This window comes from Homo sapiens, chromosome 12, assembly GCF_000001405.40.
Source record: "Homo sapiens chromosome 12, GRCh38.p14 Primary Assembly".
Lineage (NCBI taxonomy): Eukaryota > Metazoa > Chordata > Mammalia > Primates > Hominidae > Homo > Homo sapiens.
The window spans coordinates 18638536-18653429 of NC_000012.12; the positions used below are offsets into that span (position 1 = coordinate 18638536).

Genomic DNA, 14894 nt, shown 5'->3' on the forward strand with positions numbered 1-14894 from the left:
GCTGAGATTCTGCATTTGGTGTTAAGCAATCTCAGCCCCACAGTACAGGAGATAAGGGTCTCCTTCAGGGCACACATAGAAGTTTTAGGTCATTTATGCAGTCTTTGAGCCACATAACACCCTTACAGACAAACCTAGAAATAATGTTTAACCAGATATCTGGGCATCCCACGACCCAGCCATAATGACACACAAAACTAACCATCATACCTGTCTAAAGCCACATAGCTGGCAAATTTGGGGACCCAGATTTGCAATCAGAAAATCCATTTCCAGAAACATGTTTTACCCACTAAGTTTTACCCACTAAGTTGCAGTATCTAGGGATTATAGGCAGGATATCCTCAAGTTCCAAAACAGATAAGACAGAGAGTTAAACAGAGCAGAAACACTTTTACTACTTCACTCTTCTCACCAAAAAAAAAAAAAAAAAAAAATCTACTCCCAAATATTAATAGCAACTTCTTTCTGTGTCACTGAAGATTTCATTATACCATTGATAGATTTCAGTGCTCCCCCTCCTGGGGGAGGATATCAAATGGCAGAGGTATACCTTGAGCTCCAATAAAGTACCGGTCCTCATTCTTAACATATTGACAAATGAGGGTGTCCAGATATATTTTATCTTATTTGTTAATAATTATAATAAAAACCCAAACTGTCTAATGATATAATTTTTAATATGTAATTTAGAACTGAATAAAATTTAGTCCTATAATAATATATATCATATTTTCTTGCTTTACTACACGTTTTTTTGAGTTCTGAAGAAAGATGTGAAATTAAAGCTAATGGAGCTGGGTGTGGGGGTGCACTGGTTTTCACATGTGAATATCACTGTATTTCAGAGCATTAAAATATATTTCTTGAAAATTACTGATTTAATAGAATTAGTAAACAAAACAAGCACTTAATTCCTCAAATTTTACTTTTAAATCATCTGCTTTAAATATAAATTATACAAATATTTCTCATTTTATAAAACTAGACTTTCAGAGTTTTAGTACCATTTACTCTACAGTTGGTCAAGATCACAAAGGTAAAATCCATTTCTTTCAAGTATGATGGTTTCCAAATTTTTGAAACAGGGGAGTCATTCTTCAAATGATCTATTTAGAAATTAACATATCCATAACAGATTTGAAGGCAAGATGGAAAAGGTGGAAACAAGTTCTGAAGCCAGGAAGGGGAGCTGAGGAGGAGAGAGTTTAAGGAAGAACTGGGGAGTGGAGGTCCAGAGATCCACCCATTTAGCCATGCTATTCAGCAACTGCCTTAGGCAACTTTTGGAGCACCATAGAACATAATTTAAAAGGGATTATCCAACATAATTTAGAGTACTTTAGATGATAAAATTATTATAATCATTTTTAAATCTTGTAGGTATATTAAAGTTATAGCTCTAATTAATATTTTAATTATATTTTATTTTAAAATGTGATATTATATAATATACATATACATATTATTAAATGCTACATCTCATTTTATATATTGAACTTGAATTTTTTAATTTTCAAAAGTGGTGTACCACATCCTGACACTCATATTTTTGTCTCTGCTTGTGGCTAATATTTATCTCTTGACCATATCTGTCAAAATGCAAATTTAGATTTTACAGCAAAAAATTAAAGTAAATTATATGTAATGGACTTTAAATGTAGTTCTCTGACACAACACTTAATTTAAGATGGCCAGCTTTACTCTTTTAAACTGTAGTTTGGAATTATCTTTGAGCATGGATGAATTTCTTTTGATTTTCTCTTATTTTCACATCAACAAAGTGACTGTAATAAATCCTGATCCTGCCTTTGGTCTGGATATTTAGTAGCTCTGTATTTGTTTTCTTTGATAGCAACATGCATTAATATTTATAACCATTTTCCTTTGCAGCATCTCCCAGATGGCTCTGCGCCCAGTGCACATGTTGAATTTTATCTTTTACCATATCCCAGTGAAGTTCGTAGGAGGAAAACAAAATCTGTTCCAAAATGTACGGACCCCACTTACAATGAAATTGTAAGTATAAGTCACCTTTTGTCCAGTCATTTTGTATTTTTCTTACCATTTTTCAGCTTAACAACCAAATATGGAAAATTTGCAGTAATTGGCAGCATTATTTCATAAAGGAAAGATATTTTCCAAAGTAGTCGCAGTATGCTGATCACTCTTCTAGATGCTATGGGCACTGGAAAATACAGATACTGCTTTCAAAGCTCTTATAAACCAATTTGCAAGTATGGCTAACCTCCAGCAAGAGCCCAAGACTTGTTTTGCATACTAACTTTATTCCTGACTTCATCTTATTTTCTCTAACCTTATTCTCCTTTACCTGATTTTCCTTACCTAATAATTTTATCATATACTACCTTGGGTATAACAGTAAATCTCATAAAATCTCTTTTGAAAAACTAAAAAAATAAATACAAAATACAAATGGAAGTTAATGTATATTATAAATAGCTCTCTAATTTATTTGTAATGTGCAATTCCCTAACTTCTTTCTAAGGCAAGCCCCTACATTTATTCTCTTGATTCCATCCTTTCCCATCTCCTCTGCACCTTGCTCAGCTGCTTATTTGTGTTCCTTTTCTTATGGCTGTCTCATCCACAGGATCCTCCACTCAGAAATATTAAAAAACAAAAACAAAAACTCCCCAACTCAGGCTTGCTAAGCAAATTTTCTTTCCCTCACTATCACCTCCAAACTTATCCAAAATTAACCCACATGATCTGCTTTCCCTTCATCTCTCCCTTTCACCCTTGAATGCTTTGCAATGTGGATTCTGACCTTTATTGATAGTACTTTATTCAAGGGGCATCAATAGACTCCTAACTGCTAAATCCAAAGAGCCCTCAGGCTCTCGTGCCTGGATCAGTTATACAGCAGCACTACTGACCACAGCCCCATTCCTGAAACCTCCGTTTTGCTTTTTGAGTTGTACCTTTTCTTAATTCTCTTCCATTTTCTCTACCACTTATTTCTCTACCACTTATTTCCATTTCTCTACCACCTCTCTCATTTTCCTTCATTGTTATTCTTTCTCTTAAAATATTATTGTTTACTGAAGTCACATGATCCATCCTCATCTCCTCTTCCTGTACATACTCTCACATTTATCTTGTGGATCAACAAAGTTTTATTTATCACCTATAGGTAGGTTGCATCTGAATTTACTCCTAAAACCCTGGCTTCTCTCTCTCAAGCTTTTTTTTTTTTTTTTTTTTGAGATGGAGCCCTTCACTCTGTGTCTAGCAGGCTGGAGTGCAGTGGCGCAATCTCAGCTCACCACAACCTCCACCTCCCAGATTCAAGCAATTCTCCTGTTTAAGCCACCCGAGTAACTGAGATTACAAGCTCCCACCACCACATCCAGCTAATTTTTGTATTTTTAGCAGAGACGGGGTTTTGCCGTGTTGGTCAGGCTGGTCTCAAACTCCTGACCTCAGGTGATCCACCGCCTCAGCCTCCCAAAATGTTGGGATTACAGGCGTGAGCCACCATGCCCGGCCTCTGTCACACTTCTACCTGATTACTGGGGAGCTCCATCTGAATGTCTCATAGGCACTTTTAGACCAGGCTTTCCTCCATTCATTCTTTCTTTTATAGATGGTACCTTTGGGGTCGAAACTAAGAAACTCTTTGTCTAGCACTGAGTCTCAAAGATTTTCTCTTATAGTTTTTTCTAAAAGTTGTATAGCTTTACATTTTACATTTAAGTACATTACCCATTTTGAGTTAAATTTTTAATAAAATGTGATGTTTAAGTCAAGGCTCTTTATTTCCCCACTGTGGATACCAATTATTCCAGTACTATTTGTTGAAAAGGCAATTCTTCCTCCACTGAATTTCTTTTGCACGTTTGTCAAAAATCACTTGGGAATATTTGTGTTCTTATACTCTTTTTGTTATCCCATACTTAGCCATATTTTCAGATCACATCAGACAGCTTGTCATTCCCTGAATGGACTGTAGGATTTTGTGATAGAACTCATGCCACCATTCACCTCTCTCTGCCCTTCTCTGCCTGCTTTGAGACTGACCTCAGATGTGAACTCTGCAAACACTGTCACCTCGTGGACTCACACCACACTTATAATCCTTTCTTTAGTCCTACACGGTTTTTCTTCTAGTATATCATAAACTTCTCCAGGGCGGGTTAAATGTCTTATCCTTTTTAATACTTTTAACACTTAGTTACCTCTAAAATGATGTGTAATAAATATTCGGGGCAGTTTTATAAGTGACACTGTGTGTGTGTGTGTGTGTGTGTGTGTGTGTGTGTGTATAAAATGTAAATACATGTATATACTGCATATATATATAGAGAGAGAGAGATTCTCTAAACTGGTAAGGAAAAATATTTTGACACTATTATTTGTCATGATGTCAACAGTGAGAAGCATACACTTCCCAACAATATATCACTGTTTCTTTTCATACTTTTTGAGTACAAGTCTCCATGCCTCACTATCAAGAAACTTCTCAGACCCTGTGTTAGGCATAAGCATTTTCAGTATAAGAAAACATATAATAACAAGAAACCACTAACAATTCAGAACAATTTAAATAAACTTGTGTTTTATTTCAAGCTTTATGTATTATAAGAAAACAGTAGTAAATTATATTCATGGAAAATTATTTTATAATTCTTGCTGTGCACATAACTTTTCTGAGGGCTTGCAATACCTAGGTCCTCACACATCCATAACCCACTGATTAAAACTCACTACAAATCTTTCTCAATTGATCTATACTTGTAGCATGAATAGACACTTTATACTTTGGACACATTTTAAATTGCTTCGAAAGCCATGGTCCATGCATAGCCAATTCCGATGAGAACATAGTCCAATCAAGCAGAAATTTGAAGTAGTGTGTGTATAAGTGATGATTTTAGTAGTAGTCATTAGGACAGTAAGAGGTTTCTAATCATATAAACAATTCTGGCAAAGAAGCTGGGTGAATTCCAAGAGCCAAAAGGAAAAAAAGGCAACAACGGTTAATTTAATTTTTTTCATTCTATGCCTGTATCAACACAACAAGAATATTTATAAGAAATGCAAAGAAGCACACTAGATGTTAACTCTGATTTTACTGTCTCTTGCCCTCAGTTGTGATGTAGGATCCCATCTTTGTGTCAAACTCCTCGATCACTTGTGTGCAACCTCAAGAGCACCTTACTAGATGTCTTTACCAATAAGCCCAGTGCTTACTAGAGAGCCCAGTGAGTTATCACAGGGCATCTACCTTGTTTTAAACTTTTCCTCCACTTCCGCCGCCTCACTGAGTACTGCTGCATCAACCACTCACCACAGCTGGGATTTCTCAAACTGTAAAAGCCGTGTACTGTTCTTGAAGTGGGAGAGGATGACCTCACTCTCCTCTTTATATAAATCTCTCAGAGGAGTACAAAGAAGATATTACACTGCATACCAATGTCTTACAAAGCCTTTTGTGAAAATAGTTCTTTTTATTTTTATTCCTATCCTCCTTTCTCCTTAATATCCAGAGATGAGAGGGGCTGGGTCGGGGACACAGAAAAGTGACAGAGTCTCCACCCTTCCCATACTAAGGCTTTGATGCAGGGCCAAGCTTGTCTATTTGACACTTCGCAGAGTGAGCCCCAATAGGCTTCATCAGCAGTCTCCCTGAAAACCCCTGTCATGTACAAATCCCAGTGATAGGCATGGCTGGTCTCAAGATGGGTCTGGGGCTGGGGGTGTGAGTGCTCAGGGAACTGCCATACAGCTTGAAGAAGCAGAGGTGGGATTCCGGGCTCCAAAGCCTCTTTCCACGCCACTACTTTTGCCATCTTCTTAAAAACCATCATTTTTCACACAATTCATTAGAAATACAGAATTTCTACCCTATGACAGAATTACATGCTTATAATCAATATATTTTGTATATTGTAACCTTTTCTTATATATTATTCTGTTGTAAGGTGTAAAGGGAAAATTAGAAAGAACAGAACAGGAACGTTCTATGCATTTTACATCCCTTAAAATCTCCTGCAGAATATACAGTGATTACTTAGCACAATGCCAAGTATATGGCACACTCAGTAAGCTATAGTTATTGTTATCTGTGTTATAATATTATTGCAATTTCAACATGATGAAAATTGTATTTGTAAGTGAAGACAATGTGACCCAGAGGTTACACAACTAGATGTCAAGCCCAGAACTGCCTGATTCCAAAGCTCATGGTTACCGCACTACACTATGCTGTTATTCCTACCTGTCTCCTCCCACGCAGTACCCCTGTTCTCGCTTTTGAACTCTTTCTTTCATTATCCTGCCTCCTCTACCACTTCCCACAAGCACTAGAGACACTTCAGTTCCTATCTTATTGTCCTCTCATTTCAATCATGAAAATACACTTTAGAATTATTTACTAGACCCTTGTGTCAACTAATGTTCAGTAAATTCTTGGAATGTTCAGTATATGTTAATAGATATTAATTACCTTAAGTGTTTTCTATTAGACGTAATAATTCCAAACCCACACATTTAGTTATTTGTCAGAAGGTAGTAAAGACTTAACTCATGCCTATAGGTAAAAATTATTAGAAAAAGAAATTAAAAGAGCTATTTATTTTTGGTTCTGAGTATGTACCAGAACCATTTTTTTTTGTTCTGAGTATGCAGAATATATATTAAATCCTTTGACGAAAAGGTCTCAAAGAATATAATCATCTCTGTACTTCGCTAACATTAGCCACTAATTATTCTTTGCTCAGTTGAAAAGAGTACTTACTATTTAACAACATCATGGATGCACCAAAGCAATCAGAATAGATATTTATCATCTATAATGTGCAATGATTACAGGTTTATAAAACTTCAGTCACTTTTAAGAAAATAACTTTTCTTAATGAAGCAGAGGGAAAAAATATATGAAGTAATAAAAACTTTGGAAGTTCAAATGTTTGTATTTTAACCAGGAAAGCAATTAACTCCTAAAGTCATTTCTTGAAGCTTTCAGCTTGCTAAATACCTGGAAGACTCAATTCTGTCTGGAAGGGTTTTCTCCAGTCAATTGATGCAAAATACTAAGAAACAACTGTTCCTTTTTGTGTATTTGATGGATCTTTTTCAGCTATAATTTACTGGTGTCTAATATGTTCCAGGCTTTGTAGCAAGGCTTATATTCATTATCTCATTTCTTCCTCCCTATAATGCTAAAAGGTAAGGATTATTATCATCATTATACAAATGAGAAAACACACAGTTGACAACAGATTCATGAAAATATAAATTATTGATATGTTTTTTAAAAACTTACAATTTATGACTTATTCATGCAATTCACAGAGTCCTTAGCCAGACTTCCCCATTTTTCTGCATCATATACAGTCACACTTTGAGGGTTCCTTTCTGTTTTCTCTGTAAAATAAGAGAGGAGTTCATCAGCTGAACATGATGTAGGAAGAAAAATGGAGAATAGTTCAGACAGCTCAAAATACCCACTTAGAGAAAAGGAAAAGGAGTTTACTCTGAAGTCCTAGAAAGATTTCCAGGCAGCATTGGGCATCCAGTTGTTAAAAAGCATGAATTACAGTGGTAGGGTTCTGAGATTTTTTAAGGCAACTCTTAAAATCCTTTATTATCCCAGGAAAACTCAATAGATGAAATGAAATTGTTTCATGCAGATTTTATTTAATGAACATGTATTTTCATAATTAAAACATCAGTAATTTTGAATAAATAAAAGTAACCACAGTATTACTCCTGCATATGTACAAGAAAATATCATTGTGAATGAGCAACACCAGAAAACTAAACCATAATCTCCTGTATGGAATGAGAGTAAAATTCTGGAAGAAGAGGTAGCCAAGAACACTCACATGGATCAGGGTAGACCGCATTCGCATATCATATTGTATCTCATGCCCTTTGATTGAACCTATTTACTTGGTAAGTGAATCATTGTTCAGAGTCACTAACAGATTGACCTGGAACTGAATTTCATTGATAACGTAATGAAAGGTAAGCCTATGCTGTACAAAGTACTGGAAGCTAAATCCATGCTCACAGGGGAGGCCACCCAGTGAACTCAGAGGGCTGCCCTCTCAAGTTGTCTCTTCTGCTTCTTTTTGGCATATATTGAGAAAGTTTCTATCTTGTGACTTGGCTGTAAAAAGCAGGCAAGTTTGTAGCAGCATATGAAATTCCTTTTCTAAATGTGTTCTAAGACATTTCCCTGGTAACCATGCCAGATTTCCACTCAGCTCTCTCCTCCTTTCATGATAAATAACTAATTTCTTAGCGGTACTATGCCTTTACGTTGCTTTACCACTGCAGGTTGCCGATGGACCTGTAACTTACTTCCTGAACATTATAAAAGGACAGCTGACCAGATTCCTTTTGAAAAAAAAAGTCACAAAAAAAGAACAAGACGTGAAACTGTATATACAGCATAATTACAAGTCAGATTCTGAATAAGTGATTATATATAGAAAACAAAAAGAACATCAAAATGTTAACTGTAATTGTCTCCCAATGGTGAAAATTCCAATTATTTTCTTCCTTTTTGGTATTTTTTTTTGTTTCATGCAGATTTTATTTAATAAGCATGTATTTTCATAATTAAAAATTAGTAATTTTGAATAAATAAAAGTAACCACAGTATTATGCCTGCATATGCACAAGAAAATGTCATTGTGCTGCATTTAAGTAGCACAGGAAAATCATAGAAATTGGTCTGTTTCATGGCCACAGAGATGGGAACCATAAAGACTGGAGATTCCAAAAGAGAGAAGAAACAAGAAGGAGACCAAGGGTAGAAAAACTACCTATTGGGTGCTACGTTCACTACTTAGGCAACATGATCATTAGAAGCCCAAACCACAGCATCATGCAATATACCTCTGGTACAAACCTGCACATCTATTCCCCTGAATCTAAAATTGAAAAAAAAAAAAAATAGTCTGCTTTTCCTCATTAACCTTCAACACAGAAGAATGATGTTCTCTTTTTATTTTTATGAATACATAATAGCTGTACATATTTATGGGGTATAAAAGGTGAAGTATATTTAAATTTCTTCCTAGAGAGTAATTTACCATCTTGCTAAATATAGAGTGGGTAATTCTTAGTGGAATCAGTAAATTCTAGGATTCTTACAAAAATAGCCTGTCATTAAACTCTATTGTGTTAGCAGAAACTTCAGCTTTTCAGAATAAAAGTTAGAAATAAAAGAGTCTGACATTAACCTATCTATTCCAGGGTATAAGATATTAGCAGCTAATTTTTTTTATTAAAAGCAATACTCAAAAAAGAGATGTATTTAAGCATTTCTGATTTATATTTTCATTATTTTCTCCGTTTTTAGGTAGTATATGATGAAGTCACAGAGCTCCAAGGACATGTCTTAATGCTTATTGTGAAGAGTAAAACTGTATTTGTGGGAGCAATTAACATCCGACTCTGTAGTGTCCCACTCGATAAAGAAAAATGGTATCCATTAGGAAACAGTATAATTTGACCATTGCTATGAACATATGCATTATTCATTAACTACTTGTATTTTTTTCACTTCTGGGCCTCTGAATCACATAAGTAAGGCATCTTTGTTGTCAAAGACAGCACAGGGTATTAAGGACACAGAAAAAAAATCAGAATTAGTCTTTTGTGTTGTTTATTTTCTACCTGTGCTTTCATTGTTTTTTCATAATCTTTTCTCCTTCAGTGGAGTACTGATTGCATGAAATTTGATGTGTAAAATAATAAAAGACCTTTATTAAATCATTTTAATATATTTTAAATTAAACATAGGTTTACATTTGTTTTAATTGTGTGCCTACAGTTAAAAGCAGTATTTTTAATGTATTTTATAAGAAAGACAATCAAATAAACCTCATCAATTAATTCAAGATCTAGGTATATCTGTAATCAATTTTTAAAACTTAAATTATATATACTTATACCTACTCATAATCTTACTTATTGAGGGAATTGGTATATTTCAGCAGAATGCTATATTATTTTCTATCAGAAAACCAAAACATAAATCCTGAAATTCTTACATTCAATTGTTGGAAGAAACTTCTTTGTAGTTTTTCACCCTCTTCACCACCAATCAATTCATTGTCACTGGATTTCTGCCACCCAGAGGCACGATTTAAACTTGGTTATGCCTGGACTCCAAGATCTCAAACTCTGAAACTCTCCCTTCTGATCAAATTTCTTATCTGTGCACATTATTTTCCTGCTTCTGAACCTACTTTCGTAGTCACCATTACCAGGGCAAACAATCCCACAGATTTCCACCTGCACAGTGGGTAAAATTTAATGCACTATGCCACATTCTTTAAAACAATCAAAAAAATTTTTTAATCTTGCCATTCAAATTACTGAAAAAATTTAAATCCCTGCTTATTCAATGTTTCCCTGTGTATGAATGAAAAAAAATCTAAGCTTTTTCCCATCACCTCCTCTATATCATATGAGCATGTAAATGTATTCATTGAAAATTATTTGAGTATGTGATATGAGCTGATATGGGCTCATTTGAAATACGTGATCATGCAAGTCAAGTGAGCCCTTAATTCTGTATGTTCTTAGTCTATTACTCTCCCTTTCTGCTAGACGATTATACACCCTTCTGTCTGCTGAAACCTCAGCAACTCCTCCCCTAATCCTCACTCTTGGCTGATGGCATTGTTTCCTACATCACTTAAAAATTAGAATCAGTAAAAAGAAACTGCCACAGATTTCCACAACTGCATCTATCCAGGTAAGCAAATTCCATGTTCCACCTCTCTGCTTATTACCAGAGAAGAACTACCCATGCTCCTATCCCAAACCAGTCTCCCAATTTGTACATTTGATCCCATCTCCTCTGACCTACTCCAAAACATTGCTATTGAAATCCTCTTCTACTCAAATCATCATTTCTTTACTGTCTAATGGATAATTCTGGACACCATGCAACCATGATGTTATGTCTCCCATCAAAAAATTAAAACTTTCTCGTTACCCCACTTCCCTGCCAATTGCTGACCCACTACCCTGCTCCTCTTTGCAGCAAAACTCTTCAAAATGGTTGTCTTTACTGCCTCTGGTTTCTCACCTCCAATTTTCTCTTAGAGCCATTACAAGCAGGTATTTGCTCCCACCATTTCAATGAAACTACTTTAGTCAAAATCACTGTTGACCTCCAATTAGCTAAATCCAAAGGTTATTTTTCAGAACTATTCTGATTTACTTGTCAACAGTATTGGATACAATGAGTAACTCTATCTTCCTGGATATATTTTCTTCATTTGGCTTCCAATACCCTACATCCTCTTGTGCTTCCTTTTAGTTATAGTTTAGTTTAGCTTCGTTGCCTTTTTGTTTCTCCTTCTTAGTCTTCTGTGTGGGAGCATGCTCCTCTCCACCACCTCCAGTGCTGGAGTGTCCCAGGGCTCACCCCTTGCTCCCCTTTCCCATCAAGCTTAACTCCTTTAATGATCTCATCTCTCAAGGCTTTATATATCATCTGAATACTGATGATTCCCAGTTTTATAACTCCAGCCCAGAATACCTCCCAGATTCCAGAGATGAGTAACAAACTGCCAACTCAATATTCCCTTGAATTGCTGATAAATATCCCAAACTCAGTATCCCCAAAAGTACACAGGGATCAGGGAAAATATTAGGGTTCTTTTCCCCCAGACCTGTTTTATCCACATCCTTTCCCCTCCTAGTTGATGTCAAACCCATCATTCAGTTGTTAAGAGCAAAAAACTTGAAGCTAACCCAAATTTCTCTCTCTCTCTCTCTCTCTCTCTCTCTCTCTCTCTCTATATATATATATATATGTGTGTGTGTGTGTGTGTGTGTGTGTGTCTGTGTGTCTGTGTATACACACACATTTTTTTTTTAAGAGAATTACATAGGAATTTTTTTAATCTTTGCCATTCAAATTACTGAAAAAATGTAAACACTTGCTAATTAAATGTTTTCCTGTGTATGAAAAAAAATTAAGCTATTTTGTATGCTCATTTACATTACCATATAAACACATGAAAGTCTATACATTTATTTACTGAAAATTTTGAGTGCTTGATATGAGAGCTGATACGGGCTCACTTGAAATACACGAAATACCTATTATTTACATAACTGGAATATAAATGTGTGTGTGTGTGTGTGTGTGTGTGTGTGTGTGTGTGTGTATATATCTATATATATATATATATATATATATATATATATATATATATATATATATATATTCCAGTCCATCAGGAAGTCCTGTTGGCTCCACCTTCAGAATATTTCCCAAATCCAATCACCAACCACTTATCACTCTCCACCTGAAAATACTCTGGTCCAACTTACTGCTATCATCCTTGGCCTGGATTATATAATTGCCTTCTGAACAGTCTCCTCCTTTCTATGCTTACTCTGCTCCTTATAGTCTATTCTCAACACAGCAATGGGAATGGTTATATCATTCTTCTGTTCAAAACTCTGCAGGGGCTTCTAATCTCAGAGTAAAAGCCCAAGCCTTTAAAATAACCTAAAAGGCCCTATGTGATCTGACCTCCCATCCTCATCTCTCTGATTTTAACTCTTATTATATCCTCCTATGCTTATAACATTCAATCAACACTGGCCTCCTTTGTATCTCCTGGACACTCCAGGCACGCTTCATCCCTGGGATCTTTGATCAGCCAACTCCTTCTTCCCAAAATGTGCCTTTGTGCCCTGTATCCATTTGCCTAGCTCCCTTACCTCTCTCAAATCCTGCTCAGATGTCTCCGTCTCTGCCCTGCCTACCTTGAACACCCTATGTGAGATGTTGCAAGCTGCCCTGTCCCTGGAAACACACCAGATCTTTCCTACTCTACACCACTTTTATCTTATGCACTTATCATCTTTGAATATTTTATATAATTTACTTATGTATTTTGCTTATTATTTATGCTTTGTCTCCCTTCACTAGGCAATTAGCCATAAGACTATCAGGAAGTTTAGTTCACTGACAGTAGAGACTTAGATCCAGGCAAGAGAAGTTCTTGCCCTGGTGTCCTCACCATAAAGAACCCTGCCTTCTCTAGTTGTGACTCAGAAACACCCAAAGCCCTCATTCTAGACCACAGTCTAGGTACCTAAGGACCTTGGAACTTCCGGCCTGAACAGCCTTTGAAGGCCTTTTCTCTAGATCCATTCATCTGAAGTCAGACTCACCACCAATGGGAGCAATGCCTGGGCTCCAAGGATAACCAAGGGAAGGCTCCTTGCAGGGTATATGAATGTCGCTGGAATGTGCCAGTTGATTGTTCACAGACATATGCATGAGGCAACCACAGGGCAGGATGGAGCCAGGGGCAGGAATAAATAGAAGGGCATGAAGGAGGTTGAGGATAAGGACCAGCTCTTTCCATTCCATCATAACTCAGCAGGGATCTCTAAGGATTCCAAAAAGCTCATCTCTCCAGGTGTTTAAAAAAGTATATTTATTATTGGAGGAGAATAAAACATATTTTCTTTGTTAGTTTGTTAGTTTTACGTATAACTTTTAAAGTTAGGCAGATGATAATCTGAGTATTATGGACTAAATCATGTACTCCCCAAAATTGATAGGTTGAAGTCCTAACCCCAGGTACCTCAGAATGTGAACTTATTTGGGAAAAAGAAAAAAGGTTACTAAAGATGTAATTATTTAAGATGAGGTCATATGGAGTGAGGTGGTCCCCTAATTCGCCAGTCCCATATACCAGTCACATATAAGTATATGACTGATATACTTATGAAAGGGAGAAATGTGGTCACAGATCTGCACAGAAGGAAAATGTCATATAAACATGAAGGTGAATATTAGAGTGATGCATCTACAAGTCAAGGAATGCTAAAGATTGCCAGAAAACCACTGCGAACTGCAAAAGAGGCATGGCAGAGATTCTTCCCCACAGCTCTCAAAAGGAACCAACCATTGATCTTGGACTTACAGCCTCCAAAGCTGTGGGGGAAAAATACTGTTGCTTAAGCCACTTGGTGTGTGATGCTTTGTGACAGCGGTCCTAGCTAACTAATATATTGGGTCATCATCTGTTGTGTTGTCCCAGCCCCACAAATACTTGGCACAATGTTTTTTAAAATGTGTAAATTATTACCTAAACAAATGATAGAATGGCACACCAGTACAAGAAAAGCAAGGTCCCAGTCTTCACTCACATTCATACAATGTTGCAAAGTTCCTTCAGGCTTTTTACATGTATATTTTATTTGTTCCCTACTAGAAACCTAATGAGGTGGGAAAGAAAGAATTATTATGTCTCCAGAGAGTAGTAACATTCAGTTGTCTCATAGCAACATATCTTTCTATTCAAATGAAATCTTACATTGAACATATACATATATATGTATATGTTCAGAATATACATATTCTGTCTCACACAGAGAGAGAGAGAGAAAGAGAGAGACTGATTTTAGGCTAAGTGAGGATGAGGGAGCTGGAATCTTTGGACACACAGTCACCCCCTCAAACCCCTACCTATCACTCTCATCCTTAAAGTCTCCTCGAAACTTCTGCAAAAACTAAGACATCTCAAAAAGCACAGGCTGGAAAAAAATAAATGAGGTTATAGATCATTGCCTGGCTACTAATATCATAAAACAAAGTGGTTGCAGTAGCAGAGACCCACTCCCAGCATTGGCAGCATGGTTTGGGTCAGGAGTTGATTCCCAGAGGAAATGGATTATTGAGAAGCCATCATTAGTCACATATTACCCATGCCAAAAGTGAAGATTTGATATTACATAGGAAAAACTCCAGTGATAAAAGTAATTTTTCAGCAACTTGAACTCTCATGATGTAACACAAATGTTACAAATTTATGTATATATTATTTCCTAGCACAAAATCTTGAATACTCTCAATGCAATGGGCTTCT

General features: G+C 36.1%; 2 protein-coding genes across 15 annotated transcripts in view; one reads left to right on the top strand and one right to left on the bottom strand.

Annotated features, from left to right (window-relative positions):
* PIK3C2G (phosphatidylinositol-4-phosphate 3-kinase catalytic subunit type 2 gamma) overlaps positions 1 to 14894 on the top strand; it is a 483857-nt gene that overhangs the window by 395575 nt on the left and 73388 nt on the right. For 7 of the 14 annotated variants that reach the window (XM_047429005.1, XM_047429009.1, XM_047429010.1 and 4 more), the window contains 2 exons: positions 1894 to 2019; positions 9341 to 9881. In XM_047429005.1, coding sequence (XP_047284961.1) covers positions 1894 to 2019; positions 9341 to 9493 — 279 coding nt within the window. In that variant the 3' untranslated portion in view covers positions 9494 to 9881. Of the gene's footprint in view, positions 1 to 1893; positions 2020 to 5115; positions 7056 to 9340; positions 9882 to 14894 lie in introns of those variants that run through there. The other 7 variants (XM_047429007.1, XM_017019471.2, XM_047429008.1 and 4 more) reach the window with 2 other exon arrangements.
* PLCZ1 (phospholipase C zeta 1) overlaps positions 7074 to 14894 on the bottom strand; it is a 92404-nt gene continuing 84583 nt past the window's right edge. Inside the window, exons 15-16 of the transcript XR_001748912.2 lie at positions 7292 to 7392; positions 7074 to 7187 (exon numbers count right to left, since the gene is read on the bottom strand). The gene's annotated coding sequence lies outside the window, so the exon portion shown is untranslated. The remainder of the gene's footprint in view (positions 7188 to 7291; positions 7393 to 14894) is intronic.